General features: G+C 38.3%; 1 protein-coding gene across 18 annotated transcripts in view, besides 1 other annotated feature; it reads right to left on the reverse strand.

Annotated features, from left to right (window-relative positions):
• The window catches only part of SIK3 (SIK family kinase 3), a 255,027-nt gene that overhangs the window by 53,917 nt on the left and 182,257 nt on the right, over window positions 1–18,853 (reverse strand). The window contains exon 5 of one of the 18 annotated variants that reach the window (NM_001366687.1): window positions 7,200–7,685. The exons of the other annotated variants lie outside the window; for them this stretch is intronic. Within the exon in view, the coding sequence (NP_001353616.1) occupies window positions 7,636–7,685 (50 nt within the window). The 3' untranslated portion in view covers window positions 7,200–7,635. Of the gene's footprint in view, window positions 1–7,199; window positions 7,686–18,853 lie in introns of those variants that run through there. 18 annotated transcript variants of the gene reach the window in all.
• Window positions 3,992–4,192: a silencer, noted in NCBI's record as "peak1483 fragment used in MPRA reporter construct". NCBI's record gives its function as "represses an SCP1 promoter by STARR-seq MPRAs in K562 erythroleukemia cells {active_cell/tissue: K562}" and the evidence as "EXISTENCE:reporter gene assay evidence [ECO:0000049][PMID:32103011]".

Here is an 18,853-nt window from a genome sequence, read left to right on the forward strand (position 1 = left end):
TAGAAAGGCAAATGGACATAATTCGTATTATTGTAACCTTTTATTATAACTGAGCAAACACTAGTCTCTAGTCACTAAAGATTCCAAATCATTGTCTGAATATTAAATGCAAAAAGAGAACATTTAGAAACCACATAGCCAGACACTTAAAACAATAATAGTGAAACAGAGATATAGATGAGCTGAAATATAAACATGATCAGTTTATGTCAGCAAAAATAGTACTGCTCCCTTCATAAACCTAGGCAGAATAAAGCGAGTGGTACTTGTTCCTTTAAGAATGCAAATGGGCCTGGGGGCAGTGGCTCATGCCTGTAATCCCATCACTTTGTGAGGCCGAGGTGGGCGGATCACGAGGTCAGGAGATCATTCTGACCAACATGTTGAAACCTCCTCTCCACCAACATACAAAAAATTAGCCGGGCGTGGTGGCGTGCGCCTGTAGTCCCAGGTACTCGGGAGGCTGAGGCAGGGGAATTGCTTGAACCTGGGAGGCAGAGATTACAGGGAGCCAAGATGGCGCCACTGCACTCCAGCCTGGGCGACAGAGCAAGACTCCGTCTCCAAAAAAAAAAAAGAATGCAAATGAAACTGGATGATGTTAAGACCACATTAGAATCAGGAAACACATGTAAGCCTACTCAGCTGGACCCAGAATTTTTTTTTTTATTATACTTTAAGTTTTAGGGTACATGTGCACAATGTGCAGGTTAGTTACATATGTATACATGTGCCATGCTGGTGCGCTGCACCCACTAACTCGTCATCTAGCATTAGGTATATCTCCCAATGCTATCCCTCCCCCGTCCCCCCACCCCACAACAGTCCCCAGAGTGTGATGTTCCCCTTCCTGTGTCCATGTGTTCTCATTGTTCAATTCCCACCTATGAGTGAGAACATGCGATGTTTGGTTTTTTGTTCTTGCGATAGTTTACTGAGAATGATGATTTCCAATTTCATCCATGTCCCTACAAAGGACATGAACTCATCATTTTCTATGGCTGCATAGTATTCCATGGTGTATATGTGACACATTTTCTTAATCCAGTCTATCATTGTTGGACATTTGGGTTGGTTCCAAGTCTTTGCTATTGTGAATAGTGCCGCAATAAACATACGTGTGCATGTGTCTTTATAGCAACATGATTTATAGTCCTTTGGGTATATACCCAGTAATGGGATGGCTGGGTCAAATGGTATTTCTAGTTCTAGATCCCTGAGGAATCACCACACTGACTTCCACAATGGTGGAACTAGTTTACAGTCCCACCAACAGTGTAAAAGTGTTCCTATTTCTCCACATCCTCTCCAGCACCTGTTGTTTCCTGACTTTTTAATGATTGCCATTCTAACTGGTGTGAGATGGTATCTCATTGTGGTTTTGATTTGCATTTCTCTGATGGCCAGTGATGGTGAGCATTTTTTCATGTGTTTTTTGGCTGCATAAATGTCTTCTTTTGAGAAGTGTCTGTTCATGTCCTTTGCCCACTTTTTGATGGTGTTGTTTTTTTCTTGTAAATTTGTTTGAGTTCATTGTAGATTCTGGATATTAGCCCTTTGTCAGATGAGTAGGTTGCGAAAATTTTCTCCCATTTTGTAGGTTGCCTGTTCACTCTCATGGTAGTTTCTTTTGCTGTGCAGAAGCTCTTTAGTTTAATTAGATCCCACTTGTCAATTTTGGCTTTTGTTGCCATTGCTTTTGGTGTTTTAGACATGAAGTCCTTGCCCATGCCTATGTCCTGAATGGTAATGCCTAGGTTTTCTTCTAGGGTTTTTATGGTTTTAGGTCTAAGGTTTAGGTCTTTAATCCATCGTGAATTGATTTTTGTGTAAGGTGTAAGGAAGGGATCCAGTTTCAGCTTTCTACATATGGCTAGCCAGTTTTCCCAGCACCATTTATTAAATAGGGAATCCTTTCCCCATTGCTTGTTTTTCTCAGGTTTGTCAAAGATCAGATAGTTGTAGATATGCAGCGTTATTTCTGAGGGCTCTGTTCTGTTCCATTGATCTATATCTCTGTTTTGGTACCAGTACCATGCTGTTTTGGTTACTGTAGCCTTGTAGTATAGTTCGAAGTCAGGTAGTGTGATGCCTCCAGCTTTGTTCTTTTGGCTTGGACCCAGAATTTTTATGTTATATTTACTTCTTATGACAAACACATCTATGACCATTTAAAAATTAGACAAAGTGACATTATTATAATTAAGTAGTTTATTCAAAAGGAAGAATATGCAACTTATTTACAAACTGAAGCAAGAATGCTTACATTTTAATTTTAACTCTCCTTGTGCTTCAATTTTCCTCCCTTCTTCTCTCCCTCTCCTACTGCTACAAGACGCAGCAGATGGGAGGTAGCAGGGATGAGTCTTCAGGAGCTACACTAAGACAATGAGCAAGGATGGCTGGCCAAAGGATTGAGTCTCTGGTGTAGAAATGCTTTTATTTATGTATGTGTACCCATGTGACAGGCTAGAAATCCCTCATGCCCCAGGGACACCATGCTCCCTGAAATCACAGCATCTGAAAATGTTAAGCACCCACCTACTCTCTGAAACCCGTCCCTCTCTTTTCCAGTTTTACTCTTGTTGACAACTCTCCTTTTGCTATTTGCTTTCCTTCTTTCTACCTTCTACAGAAGGTGTTTTTCAGCAGGCTCTGCTGATTTTAACTGCCTCTCCTTGCTCTATGTTTTCTCAGGGCTAACTCTTTTAATCTCGCTACTTCTACCAGCATTTGATATAAATACCCCAAATTTATATGTCTGGCCCTGGTACCACTCTTAAGTTCTTGGCATGAATCCCCAATACTTGCTTGGGAAGAAACACCTCAAACCCACCATTTTCCAAAGTCATACCTGCGCTTTCAGTGCTTTTACCCTCATTAGTGACATCACCACCTGTGTTACTAGAAACACTGGAGTCATCTTCAAGTCCTTTCTCCCTCGTTTCCCATTTCAACCTGGTAATAAAACTCTTACTGCTTCAACTCCATGTGTCTTGACTCCACCTCCTCTTTTCTATTTCCATTTCTACCACTGCAGTTCATACTCTTATCATCCCTAGCTTGACTGATGCTATTGCTTACTTCCTATTTCATTTTCCCCTAAGCTATCCATTCATAGCACAAAGTTACACAAACCAGATCCTGTTACCTCCTCGCTCAAAAAACATGGGCTGCCTCCCTTCTACTTACAGAAGAGTCTTCATCTCAGCATTGTCATTTAAGGCCCTTCACAACCCAGCTCCATCCTATGTTTCCAATTTATCCCTGGCCATGCTAGCATCACTAGACTATTCACATCCTGTGTTTACATGCCTTCCACATGCTATTTCCTCTCTGTACCATGCCTTTTCCTTTCTTTTCCATCTTTAAAGTATCACTCATTTTCAAGGCCCAGTCAAATATTACTTCCTGTATGAAGGCTTAACTGATTTCCACCAGAAAACACCATGTCAATGGCTTCCTCCTCCGTGCTTCCACAGCCTTTTGTTTACGCCTCTACATCCCATTACTGTTCTGTCATATACATATACATATATATTATTTATTTTTTTTTTTTTTTTGAGACAGAGTTTCACTCTTGTTGCCTAGGCTGGAGTGCAGTGGTGCGATCTTGGCTCACCGCAACCTCCACCTCCCAGGTTCAAGAGATTCTCCTGCCTCAGCCTCCCAGGTAGCTGGGATTACAGGCATGCATCACCATGCCTGGCTAATTTTTGTATTTTTAGTAGAGACGGGGTTTCTCCATGTTGGTCAGGCTGGTCTCGAACTCCCGACATCAGGTGATCAGCCCACCTCGGCCTCCCAAAGTGCTGGGATTACAGGCGTAAGCCACTGCGCCCAGCCTCTGCCTTATATTATACTTAATTGTATTGTGTGTTTATACCCTCCATTAATTAGTAAATGGAGGAGATACCGTTTTATTTATCCTAGTCTCTACACAGTGGTTCTAATACATAGCAGAGACTCAAGAAAGGGTCACGAAATTAAACTGCAATAAAATAACTGGGCCAATCCTCTTGTCACCTCCTGACTACTGGAGACTTCTCAAACTGACAATGGCAGCTGGCCAGCAACGAGAGCCTCTGCCTCCTAGCTGTCCCTCCCAAGGTTCTAAAATTAACTTAATGATCATAAGGGGTGTGGCAGTCAGGACCACAAATAGAATCATTATAGCTTCTTCTATGAGAAGATGAATACTCTCATTCATTAATGGAAATAAATAATACTTCTTCTGTGAAGTCCTCCTGGATCCCCTACAAGAAATGTCCCCTATCTACTCTGTCTGTACTTTCTTTCCCTTTATTATTTGAATACATAAATAATGTATTCTTCTAGCTCCTGAAAAACATCCTCTCTTGTAAAGATCTACCCTCTCTCTCTAGTTCCTTACCTTATTCTTCTCTCTTTCACAGTATCTAACAGTGTTTAACACAGTGGGCACTTAATGTTGACTATGAACAAAACTGCATTTAATGCTCTACCAACTAACCTGCAACTTTTGAAACACCGTAACTTTCACTTACAAATTAAAGTCTGCACACACTGGTCACTATTAAGATTTTTTTCTTAGGAGAGTGGGAACAGGTTGCTAAAAATCCCAACAACTGAGATTCAGCAAAGTTGACGTCTCTGGGAATTATCCAGAAGGAAGATCCTTAGGTTTGCAAAAATAAAAGACAGAAAAAAGATCCTTAGATTTGCAAAAAACCTTCACCAGGTCCTTTTCCATGATCAGCCTTCCTCTTCTCTCCAGTGCAGAGGAGAAATGCGAATGATTCTGTTCTGCCTGATGGATTCTGGCACTGGAATGACTGGATAACAAACTCTAGAAGAATCATGGCTAGAAGAATCATGGAGTTTTTTGTTTGTGTTTTCAATGGAGCATGCAACAGGCTAAGCAATGAATTTAAACCAGTTGAGTTTAAATTCGCCTATAAGCAGATAAAATGTACAGACTTCTCATTTTGAACCACTAATGTTTAGTAACCTTTCTAGCATGTTACTTTGCCAGGGAGGTGAAGGCACAAACCTAATAGTGTGAGCTTGTTATTTTATCTACCAAACAGGAAACTGTTACAAAGAAAACAATATCAAAGGGAACCAGCTTCAGCAATGTCTGCAGGCTTAGACTGCTAATAGTTATAAGGATTTTATATGAGAAATGAGTGTATGAGAATGAATGATATATTACAGCCAGACAACTAGAGAGAGCCACATCTGCAGAAGCACCTGCTTCCACTATGTTACATCCAAACAGCTGGCTTCAACAGCTAGACCCAATAACCAAATGCAAGATTTCTGTAAGATTCAACAACAACCAAATACTACTGGCTTGCTCTCATCTCCTATTATGCACCAAACAAAATCCTCTAGTCTCAGAAACCTGTCGAGAGGTCTTCTATAATCATTCCAAGTATTGTTACTCCCAACTCTAAGGTGTACATTCAAGCAAAATCTTGCTATTCCCTGCCTACAAGACACCTTTTACCCCCCAATTATGGGCAGATTCCTTTAATTACTGAGCCTGCGGTATCCTAATTCTTTCTTTAACGTACCAAACCTAACAGGATCTGATCCACTCTCCCTTTTCAATATACATATTATTATAAATTGACGGTTTCATTGAAAGCATATCGCTGTCTTCTCTTCCCTACCAGTGGCTCTTTACTAGTATTTCACATTAATCTTCACTATTGCTATGCATCTTGTAAGTTAAAATTCTGTCTAATTTGCTGCCCATTCAGCTATAACATAACTTATTTTCTGAACATTTAAATTATCCGTGTGGGAAAGCCTCAAATTATTACCATGTACTAAATCTGGAAGTCATTTTGAAAATTCAGTGCCTTCCAATCAATACTTCTGGGACTGAGTAACTGTGATGGGAGAATACCTCCTCTTCATTCTCTTAGCTGCTTGCCTTTGGGGACATTTTGCTGCACATTTTAAGAGGACTGGAAAGAAAAATACAGTTAAAACAAACTAGTCTATTTTAGGTTCTGTTGATAGTTTAGTGATGTACTAGGGGAATGCTGGGGTGTGTGGTAGGAAATGGAGGTGGGGAACAGATAGACATGGAACAGAATCACTAAGAGCTTTGCTGTTTTCAGTTATCTACATGTATAGACAACTGGAAAAAATTGAAAGATCATCCAAGTTGGAGGAAAAAAATTCTCATAACACAAATTCAAGCAATGAGTAAAAAAGAATGAGGAAGAATTCTCACTGGCTTAAGTCAGAAATGCCAAAGAAAAAGGTAAAGAAAAACTTTTTTTTTGGAGATGGAGTCTTGCTCTGTTTCCCAGATGGGAGTGCAGTGGCACAATCATAGTTCACTGAAGCCTTTACCTCCTGGGCTCAAGCCATCTTCCTGCCTCAGCCTCCTAAGTAGCTGGGACTTCAGGCAAACACCACCATGCCTAGCTATTTAAAAAAAATTTTTTTGTAGTGATGGGGGTCTTGCTATGTTGTCCAGGCTGGTCTCAAACTCCTAGGCTCAAGCGATCCTCCTGACTAGGCCTTCGTAAGTGCTGGGATTACAAGCAACAGCCACTGCACCAAGCCAAGAAAAGCTTTAGAGCTTAAGTTTGATCTGAACTTGAACCTAGAAAACCATTTCTATTTAATAGGCTTTTTCATCTTATTTTGGCTCTGGAGCTACTCTAATTCACAATATCTTTCATTATTTACTAAAGCTTCCTATTCTTAATGTCTCTTTTATAAGTCTCTAAGTAAGTTCCTCCATTTCCTTCACTCTTTATGTAACATGTATTTATGGAACTCTTCCAATGGGAATAGCAATGTGTTAGATCTTCTAACAAACCAAAGGCATAAAACATAGTTCTAGGGAAAGGCTCAAAGGAAGCAGAACTTGGTTGAATGGCCAGGATCTGGAGAGGCAATGAAGGAAGGTGGAAAGGGTGCTCTGAATGGCAGTCAGGAGGGAGCACGAGCAAGGGCAGAACACTTAGAATTAACTCGCTAAGTTCAAGTGACAAGCAAGACACTGCCCTGGGTACAATAAAGGGTTTGTAGGGGCATATGGCAAGAAATAAAGAGTGCACAGCAGCATCATGCCAGATAAAATACAGCTTCAAATGACAGAATGAAGACCTTGGACTTCATCCTGTGAACCATTACTATTTTTTCTTTCCTTTTTTTTTCCTCCACATTTAAAAATTTTATTAGACTTCAGATACAAAAAAACTTGATTATGAATTTATTATAACCTTTGGCTCATGACACACTCTCCATGCTCCACTCATTTACTGCTTTTATTTCAATTGTTTTTTCCCTACAGCATTATTGAGATAAGGAATACGAAATATATTACTTCATATTCTTAATGTCTCTTTTATAAGTCTCTCATAAAATATTTTCTTATAAAATGTTATTCTTTTTTCTTTTTAATTTTTAAATTTTAAAACATAGAATAAAATAGAGACAGGGTCTTGCTGTGTTGCCCAGGCTGGTCTCGAACTCCTGAGCTCACATGATCCTCCCACCTCGGCCTTCCGAAGCGCTGGGATTACAGGCATGAGCCGCTGCACCTGGCCATAACATATTTCTTGTATTCCATATCCCATACAATTCACGCATTGAAAGTGTAATGCCCAGCGGCTTTTAGCGCATTCACAGAGTTGTGCGACGATGACCACAATCAGTTTTAGAACATTTTTCACCTTGTAAGGAAAAGGCAGTGAAAAAACCAAAGAAGAAATTTTAGAACATTTTCATCACCCCAAAAAGAAACCCTGTGCTAATTAGGAGTTACTCCCCAACACCCTTCAAGTCTTTCACCAATGGCCCAGCCCTAGGCTTTCTACTTTCTGTCTCTATGAGACTTGTCAATTTTGGACATTTCACATAAATGGAATCATACAATATATAAGCTTTAGTGTCTGGCTTCTTTCACTGAGCATAATATTTTGGAGGTTCATCCATGTTGTTGCCTATGTCAGCACTTGAGTCTATTTTACTGCTGAATAACATCCATGGTATGGACATTCCACATTTTATTTATCCATTCATCATCTGTTGAACATTCAGGTTGTTTCCACTTTGCAGCGACTAAAAATAATGCTGCTATGAACATTTATGTGAGTTTCTGTGTGGCCATATGGTTTCATTTCTCTTGGATATATACCTGGGAGTGGAACTGCTGGGTCATATGGTAACTCTGCTTAACTTTTTAGGAAGTATCCAAACTGCTATCCAAAGTGGCCGTACCATTATACATCCCTACCAGCAACGTACAAGGATTCCAATTTCTCCACATCTTTGCCAACACTTATTGTCTTTATTATTATTACTTATTATTGTCAATTCAGCTGTCCCAGTGGATGTGAAATGATATCTTACAGTGGTTTTCATTTATATTTCCCTGATGGCTAATAATATTGAGCATCTTTTCATGTGCTTTTCAGCCATTTGTATATCTGCTTTGGAGAAATGTCTATTCAAATCTTTTGTGCAGTTTAAAATTGGTTATCTTTTTATTATTGAGTTGTGAGTGTTCTTTATACATTCTGGATACAAATCTCTTATTAGATATATGATTTGCAAATATTTTCTCCCATTCTGTGGACTTTCATTATCTTGATGATGTCCTTTGATGCACAAAAGTTTTAAATGTTGATGAGGTCCAACTTATCTGTATTTCCTTTTGTCACTTATGCTTTTGGTGTGAATATAAAGGTACCAGTAAAACACAGTTCTTTCTGAAGAGGTTTGAGAGCCACACTTACAGGCAATAAGGAGTTGCTAGGACTTCTGAGCAGGCAGGTGAAGTGGTAAAATAAACTAGAAAGCAAGATTAGGTTAGGTGTGAGGTGAATATTGAAGGCTGTGATCAGATGAGATATTGAAAATGAAAAAAACAATTCAAAAGATGTTCTGAAAGGAGCGGACAGTACTTGATAACAAACAGAATATATGGGATGAAAAAGAAGGAGAAGTAGAGAATATGGCCCTGAGCAGATGACAGACTTAAGGAAAGCAGAAGTTGGTTTGGGAAGAAAAAAAATTACTTTTTCTTTATGTCCTGAGTTTGAGAAGGTGATCAGAAATTTAAGTGAAGATATTCTGAGAAACTGAATTATAGTAGTAAAAGGATAAAATATTTTTGAAAGAAAAAGTAGAGAAAAGGGAAGGATGAGAATTAAGGCTTCGAAAACACCCAGAGGTACTTCCTATTCCCTAGGTGCGAGAACAGAAAGAGGATGCAGCAAAAAGGAGAGAGAAAGCGCGGCTAAAGGAAGAAAGTCAGGAAAATGTAACAAGGAAGCCGAGAGAGCAGAAAAGCAGAAAAAGGTGGCTTACAGCATCCATGTAATCTCATCCAAGTGTTATGTAACTTTGATCTGAGGGAAAACAAATGATGACATAATTATTCTCGATGAGAAATGGTATCATTTTCCCCTCAGAATTTTTGTTTATTTGTTGTAAAGACAGGCTACATCACAGAAATGGACTACAAATATAATCCAGATCCATTCAGAGTTATCTACAATGTCAAGCTGTGAATAAAATTAGGCATTTCTTACCAAGATTGATGACAACCAACAGATACTAATCCTAAGTTATATACAAATATATTCAGAGTACTTAGAAACGAACGTCGTGGCCATGCAGGTGAGTGGCAAGAGCCCTGGAGGGAGCCATGTATCCCAGAAAGACTTGGAACTGGACTGTCCTTGACTCATCTCTCCAGTGCAACAGTTTTCCTATTTGTGCTGCACTTTGCAGTATTAAACAGTTGTTTTTCAAAGGACCTTCTGTTGAGTGCTGCGCTACAGCACCTTGTATTTATTACCTCATTGAGATGAGCATTATTTTTGTTTTATGCCTGAGACGTGAGGTTCAAAAGTAACATTCCCAAGTATAAAGGTTAAAGAAAAATTAGTATGAATCAGATGCAGCCTATAACGCCAGTTCTCAGTGCCCTCAAAATCCAGCCCCACATTGTGCTTTCAGCATCATGTATGTGTTTATATTTAAGTTCACGTACATCCCATAATTATTTTTATTGAAATTTAAAAATTTGCCAGGCACAGTGGCTCACACCTGTAATCCCAGAACTTTGGGAGGCCAAGGCTGGCGGATCACTTGAGGTCAGGAGTTTAAGACCAGCCTGGCCAACACGGCAAAACCCCGTCTCTACTAAAAATAAAAAATTAGCCAGGTGTGGTGGCAGGTGCCTGAAATCCCAGCTACTCGGGAGGCTGAGGCAGGAGAATTGCTTGAACCCAGGAGGCGGAGGGTTGCACCAGAGTCGAAATTGCACCCTGCACTCTAGCCTGGGTGACAAGAGCAAAACACTGTCTCAAAAAAACAAAAAACTTGCAAATTCCTTAGTTATTACAGTTTACTGTTTTTCATTTTATTATTGACTGCCACCCTTTGCTCTGCTTATGTTAATTCCCAAAGACACATAATGCTTCAGGAATACTGCGTCAAGTTTCTTTTAAAAACATGCATAGAAAAGAATGGTAGACACTGTATATCAATGGGAAAAGGATAAATTTCTCAAAAAGTGGCACAGGAACAACTCGTTATTCATATGGAAAAAAATTACAGAGGCTGCCATCCTCACACTCTATCCCCAAATTAATTCCAGGTGGATTATAGCCCTAATGTGAAAGGTAAAACTATCACGTTTTTATTTAAAAAAAAAAAAAAAAAGCAGGTATCTTTACGGCCTCAGGGGATGGAAGAATTTCTCAAACAAGAAACAAAAAGTGCTAATCATAAAGGGAAAAGTGGTAAACTTCGTTACATTAGAATTATGCCAAAATTTATACACACGTTAAACAGAAAGTGAGAAACCACAAAGTGAGGGAGGATATTTGTAACTTATAAAATAAAGGACTCGGCTGGACGTGGTGGCTTACTCCTGTAATCCCAGCATTCTGGGAGGCCAAGACAGGAGGATTGCTTGAGCTCAGTAGTTTAAGACCAGCCTGGGCAAATACAGGGAGACCTCGTCTTCACAAAAACTAAATATAAATTAGCCAGGCATGGTGGTGTATGCCTGTGGTCCCAGCTACTCGAGAGGCTGAGGCAAGAGGATTGCCTGAGCCTAGGAAGCCGAGACTGCTGTGGGCTGTGATCACGCCACTGCACTGCAGCCTGGGTGATGGAGTGAGACCCTATCTCAACAACCAACCAACCAATCAATCATCAAAAAACAAAAAACAAACAAACAAAAAAAACAAAGGACTTGTATCCAGACTATCAAAAAGAAACAAACTCCTATAAATCAATAAGACCAATAGAGAATCCAGTAGAAAAATGAGCAAAAGACTATTGACAATTGACAAAAAAAGGCCAAGAGACACAAAAAGAAGCTCAATCTCATTATTAAAGAGAAACAGTAAAAATTAAAACCACAACAAGATAATCATTACACAGTTGCCAGATGGGCAAAAATTTAAGAGTAGATAATAACAAGCACTGGAGAGGACATGGAGCAAGTGGAACTCTCACACCTACTGGAAACAGTTCAGCATTACCAAATAAAACCTAAAAACACACACCATATGACCCAGCAATTTCACTTCTCAGTTTACACTCTTAAATGTTTAAGAATACACACTAATGTTTAAGAGTATACCAGGATAAATGTTTAGGAATGTTCGTTGCAGCTGTTAGTAAGTGCCCCAAACTGAAAGCAATAGGGGCTTCTGCTTTTAAAATAGCTATTAATAGGTACAATGGAAAAATAACTTGTGGTATATTCATATCATGGAATACTATATAGAAATAAAAATGAATAAATCGCAGCTATACAAACAACATGGATAAATCTCACAGACTGTTGGATGAAACAGACAAAAAATAATATAATCAATATGATTCTATTCATGTATCATTCAAAACAAGCAAAACTATATTGTTTAAGGATGGACCCACTACACATTATATTCAGTATAAATGGCATCCCTTGGAGCAAAACTCCTAAGTAATGCATTACATCAGTGGCAAAACTACTAAAAGAAAAAAAAAAACACCTATAAAGTAGAGCACATAAGTGATTAACACAAAAGTACAAAAAAAATTTTTTTTCTCTTGGGGGAAGGATATGGTTGTGATGAGGTGTACAGCCTGGCTGATGAAATTTTCTAGTTTTTTGACCTGAGTGCCAATTACTACACAGGTATTTGCTTCTAGTGATTCACTAAAGTATACACAGATGCTTAAAGAAAATTTATGTATAAACATAATATTTCATAATAAATGAAAGACAAAAGAGACAAGAATAGCTCCTTTTCCTCCTCCACTGCTATTTCTCGCCACTTGGAACCACTGCTCTGGGATCTAAGCTCCACAATCATTAGGGCTTTTGAGGGCAGAGGTTTTTCTCACCACTGATTTCCTAGGGCCTAGCACAGTGCTGACAGGAAGAGAAAGCACTCAATAAATATCTTAAAACAACTCACTGACTAACTAAGAACAGAGAGGGTGGGAGAAAGGGAAGAAAAGAGCGATACAGTTTGAAATAGGAAATGAATGTATCAGAACTCAGAGTGTAGGAACTGGGAACTACTTGGTAAGACAGAGATCTCAACTAAAGTTTTTGTTGAAAATAGCAATTTTCATATATGAAGAAAAACTGTAATCTAGGAAGAATATATACAATGATGAAGTTTCCAGTTATCATTAAATATAATTTTAAAGGAAGAGTAAATATTTTAGTGATAGGTATAATCATTAATGCTAAAATGGCAATTAGGTGTGAGTGATATGCTTATTAGTCACATGATTGAAAATATTAGTATTACTCCCACACTAATAACTATTTCTCAGTAACCCATATTAGTAAGAGACAAAGCTAGTATACACTACATATAATTTAAAAATTCATTTTTGTCTATAATATCACTTGCTTCCTTAGTTCTAACAAGAGCTGTTAACGAAGAACACTAAAAAAAATTAGGTTTTCCTTCTTTTCCTTCAATATGTAAACTATCAAATGAAAAAACATAGCCAGAAAAGAAGAAAAAAAAACCTAGATAATATTTTTAAAAACCTGTATAACTGAAAGTTGACATAGTTTTAGTAATCTTTCAGATAATCTTAACTCTCCCCATTTTTTTTTAAGAATCTATTTTTTTTCTGATTATAATCTTTAAGTTATTCAAATCCCAAAGGTAAGCAGCCAGTAAACACACAGAGCCTCATCATCTCCCCAAAACCACAGGCACTTTGTATTTGGTAACAATCTTCTTTCACCATTCCAGAGCTCATATCGCTCTAAGGAACACCGGAGTGCTGTACTGCTCCAGCTCAAGTCAGCCTGGGAAAGAGAAAGGGACAAGGCCTGGGATCATTACCACTAGCTGGATTCCAGAAGACATAAAGTAAACTAGACTACCATAAGCTGAAGTTTAGTTCACATGGCTCAAGATGAAGAGTGCTAGCAGGCCAAATGCTGGTGAAATATAAAGGAAAAAAAATCCAGAAGAATGACAACTTCAATGTAAGTGAAAAACAAGAACAACAACAACAAAAAAAACACAGAAACTTAAGGCAAAGAAAGGATTCCCTGTACGTTCAAAAGGTTAAGTAAACACACTTTGAAGTTTTAGAATGCAGTAATAAATGCCAAAGAAAAAGTGAGGATTGTGCTAATACCAAGAATTGGTGAGATCATAAAACAATATGGTGCCTGGTGAAGCGGCGCACACCTGTAGTTCCAGCTACTTGGGAGGCTGAGGCCAGAGGATCCCTGGAGCCCAGGAGTTCAAGGTGCAGTGAACCATGATCATGCCACTGCACTCCAACCTGGGTGACAGAGCGAAACCCTGTCTTTTAAAACAAAACAAAACAAAACAAAAACAATATGGGGTAGATCAGGTAAATTATGGTACATCTACTTGATGTGCACTCATTAAAAATGATGAGGCCAGGTGCAGTGGCTCATGCCTGTAATCCCAGCACTTTGGGAGGCCGAGGCAGGTGGATCACCTGAGGTCAGGAGTTCGAGACCAGCCTGGTCAACACGGTGAAACACCATCTCTACTAAAAATACAAAATTAGCTGGGTGTGGTGGCACATGCCTGTAGTCCCAGCTACTTGGGAGGCTGAGACAGGAGAACTGCTTGAACCCGGGAGGCGGAGGCTGCAGTGACCCGAGATGGTGGCACTGAACTCCAGCCTGGGCAAGACAGAGCCAGACTCTGTCTCAAAAAAAAAAAATGATGACTATATGGAGCAACATGGGAAATATAAAATTGTAAATACACTGATTATAAGTATGAAAAACATGCATAGTAAAAAGACAAAAGAAAATGCATTCAAAATGTTAACAATGGTTTCAGAGGTGGGATTGCAGCTTGAATATTTAAAACGGTTTTGTTGCTGTTTAAATTTTCTATAGTATGCTTACATTATTCTATAACTAAAATTTTTATTTTAAGTATAAAGACTTTAAGACATCATCTTGAACAATAAGAACAAAAACACTGAGCAGTTAGTTTTATGTAATTCTCAGGTACTGATGCCGATAAAATACTTGATATCCCTTACTGCTTATTTACTGGCAATGGGAAAGATGTATGACCTACAGAGTCAACATTAAAATGATGAATATTCTAAAGAGTTACGGAAGAACAGGGAGAAACAGAAGAAGCTGGTTAAGATGGATACGCACACCTACACAACAGAAGCCATATGAGTGGAGCGAAGTTGGTCTCTTCATGTGGCCATGGTCATTTATTTCTCCACTCGCAAGTGGCTCTCAATATAATTTGTTAAGTTGCTTTCCAACCCCCAACACCCTAGTTGGTTAGCATTTGTCCGCAGGCTGAAATGGCAACTTAAATCCCTTTCTCTTAATACAGAGCAGGAGACTTTAATTTGAACCATATGACTGTCTTCTAGGAAGGCTTAAATACCAGAGCTTACTATCAATTTTGAGACTTGGAATTCTTTGTTGGAGGTGAGATCAGGAGCCTGGGGATATATAAGGTAGTGATAACTGATATCCCTAAAAATAAGTATATCATCAACTGGATATGTCTATGTGGTAAGGGAAAAGAGCAAAACGGGCGGCATTAATTTATAAATCAGGGCAACTGCAACAGGCAATTTTCTTATTTGGTCTACCACTTTAGAGCAATGAACTTGACTTCTTTTTTGGCTAACCAAAGAACAATCCAAAGCAGATGTAAACAGATTAGGCACAACTTTCCAGCCAGTACTAGTGTTCTCAGTGTCTCTAAGGCAATACAGTACAGCTTTGAGCGACGGACAACCCTGCTTTCCAAGGGTAACTTGTGCTTCACTTCCTTGCTGTATAAGTAAACAGCTTGGAAGCAGGGAGCAGAGGGGAAAAAGTGAAGTGGGAAGATATTTACTTACCCTAAATGAACAACCTCACCAAAAATCACTGTGACAAGATCCTTCATGTTTTCAAAGCTAAAAGCTTCTGAGGATTCACAATCCCAATACTGCATTTGCAATTAGAGACCCAAAGATGAAGACAGAAATAATTAGGTCCTTGATTAATTTCCAATTATTAGAAATTTCTAATAATTAGAAATGTTGCTGCTAGAAATGATGCAAAGAACCAAAGATCAAGACTGGTGTAAGAACAGTATATAAATAGGATTTAGAATGTTCTCCTGACTATTAAAATGGAACATGACGCTAATAAGGAATTAAATCTGCTTTTCCTATATAATGTCACTGGCCAAACCATATGACCTAAGGGCTTTATTTGAAATTGAACAAAACAAAAGTCAAGTGTGTGGATCTCAGAATTGTGGTAGTGACAAAGGATGAGTTTCAAAGTTCTCAGAAGTCACAATATTAGTTCACTCTTAAAAACAGATATTGGGAAGTCCTCAGGATTTAGTAATCACTTCAACCCCTGGCTGAACTTCCTCACTAGGAGCTAATAGAGAAGTAATGCCAAAAACTCCTGACTCACAGCCTTAGCATATATACACAAGAGAAAATTCCTTCAAGGAAAAAAAAAAAATCAAGTAATCATCTTATTTGGGGGGAGATTTGGATCAGCATTATATTGGCATTTCCAATGAGTGACTTATGTATTTTTATCCCAAAACACCTTAGCAGGTACAATAGCTGAACTCAGCTATTTTAAATGAAGTAATAAACCAGTCTTCTCCACTCTATTTATTTTAGATAGCAACATCCAACCCTTCTCATATAAATCCCCAAACACCTCCTCAATATAGGATCTTTGCATCAAACTCAGTACTGACTAGATGTATAAAGGAAAGGATTATAATGAGACACTTTCTACAACACATGCAAACAGTACTCATCGGAATTCTTAAAAACATTAATGAGTATATCATAGTCATGATTGTAAAGAATATCAACAAGAACAATAAAAGCCTAATCATTTAATCAGGTAAGTTTCTAATAATGATAGGTGAGCATGGTATACAAAATTTTAGTGTGCCTTTTATAGAACAGGATGAATCAGTGTCCCCTTAAATTCTCTTGAATCACTTGAACCCAGGAGGCAGAGGTTGCAGTGGGCAGAGATCGGGCCACTGCACTCCAGCCTGGGTGACACAGTGAGACTGTGTCTCAAAAAAACAAACAAATAAACAAAAAACCACAAACAAAAAAACAAAACAAAAACCTTTTTCCAAATTAAAAACTAAGACATATGGTCTGATAAGCAGAAGCCTACTTTTAGAGAAAAGAAGATAGGATTGTCACTTAAGAAGCTCTAAGGTGTTACCTAGAAATTAAGAGTAGGTAACAAAATACTATCTTAGATTAAAGCTAATAGGAAACAAACAAACAAAAAAAAACTTCAAATGAGAGCAGACATCTGAAAAGTAACCCAACTGAAAGGTGATGTGAAAATATGATAATGGGAATAAAGTACTCCCCTTCTCAATTTTTTTTTTTTTTTTTTTTGAGATGGAGTCTCACTCTGTCGCCCAGGCTAGAGTGCAATGCCACCATTTTGGGTCACTGCAGCCTCCACCTCCTGGGTTCAAGCAATTCTCCTGTTTCAGCCTCCCAAGTAGCTGGGACTACAGGCATGTGCCACCACAGCTGGCTGATTTTTGTATTTTTAGTAGAGACAAGGTTTCACCATGTTGGCCAGGCTGGTCTCGAACTCCTGACCTCAGGTAATCCGCCCAGGTCCCAAAGTGCTGGGATTACAAGCATGAGCCACCACGCCCGGCCTGCCTCCTCAATTTTTTGATGGACCACAAATGTATTCTCAGTACAAGGTGAACAAGACAGACATGGTCCCTGCCCTCATGTAGCAGATTAGTCCAGTGGGGGAGATACACATGAAACAAGCACACATGTAACTATATAATTATAACCACTGGATGAGTTTTAAGGAAAAGTTCCAGAGGGGCAATTGGTATATTCTAGAGAAATGGGGCTTTCCTGAAGAAGGTTCTATCAACAGTTCAGAGACTCACTCAATCTGATCAAGAAAACCATGGTATACTTGGATTAGAATGTAAAGAAATCAGTACAGTTACCTTTTTATTTTCCAGCTTTTCTGACTCACAAACTCCTTTCAAAGGAATGTATTATCTTAAAAACCTCCCGGGAAAGAAATTTTAAAAATAATTTTGTCATTTTTCTATGATTTATGATACAGAAGAGACTTTAGCTAAAAGACATTTTATTTTACATTAGTACATTAAAAATTAATTTAAAAGTTCACTATGAATTTTAAGACAAATTCATATTATCCCATCATACAAGTGACCCACACTATTTATTTCAATTATTCAAGAAAAAGTATTTATTTAAAATTGATATATCATGTTTAGTAGGAAGCCATATATGTGTGTGTGTGTGTGTGTGTGTGTGTGTGTGTGTGTATGTGTATTTTTTCTTTTTGATGGGGCGGGGGGGCAGGCGGTGGGATAGAGATGGGGTCTTATTATGTTGCCCAGGCTGGTATGCAGGGATCCTCCCGCCTTGGCCTCCCAAAGTGCTGGGATTACAAGCATGAACCACGGCACCTGGCTTTGGAAGCCACAAATATACTGAGATTATAATACACAAAACAGATGAATACTTTTCATGACCTAGGATTTGGAACACTTACATGTTTGAACCTAAAAACCAGACTTGATTAAATGAATTATTTTCATGCCTTGCTTTTAAATAATGAAATGGATTAACAAATATTGGGTCATTACTTATTAGCACTTCTTTGCAAATAATATACTATGAATGTAGATAGTCTTTATTCCCAATAAATCAAACTGGATATAATATAGATAGATAGATATAGATACGGATATGTGTGTAAAAAATGTATATACATGTGGTATATACATATTTTGTGTGTATGTATGTAATGTAACATTTTTAAACTTTGTTTCTTGAGGCCCTAGAAACAATTTGATGTGCTGTGTAAGAACCATGGCCAAACAAAGACAAATCATGAATTTGGTGAAGGTTGTCTTGAGGCATTACAGAATTATCATTTTTATCCTCATCAATTTGAATTTCAACATTAGTGTTCTTTATGCTTTATATAATCCAGTGATCCATAATAGATGTAAACTTAATAAAATACAATGAAAAACTGTACCCTGGTCAAAGCTATTATGATAACCAACTACTTGAACAATAAATGGAATGACCAAGTCATAAGCATGCTCATTAGCGCCCTGCCAGCAGGTAGACTCGATTTATACTCAGAGGCTCTCAAACTATTCCATTTAAGAAGGGCGGAAAGACCTAAGTAATTATTTCATTTATTAACTTCTAAAAAATAGAAAAGTCATTATCACTTTGTATGACATGAATCTCTTGGAACACTGAAAATCTCTGAGGATTCAGAAGTCACTGGCTGGGAAAAGATCCTGTATACTACTTG

The sequence above is a fragment of the Homo sapiens genome, chromosome 11 (genome assembly GCF_000001405.40).
Source record: "Homo sapiens chromosome 11, GRCh38.p14 Primary Assembly".
In the NCBI taxonomy this organism is placed as follows: Eukaryota; Metazoa; Chordata; class Mammalia; order Primates; family Hominidae; genus Homo; species Homo sapiens.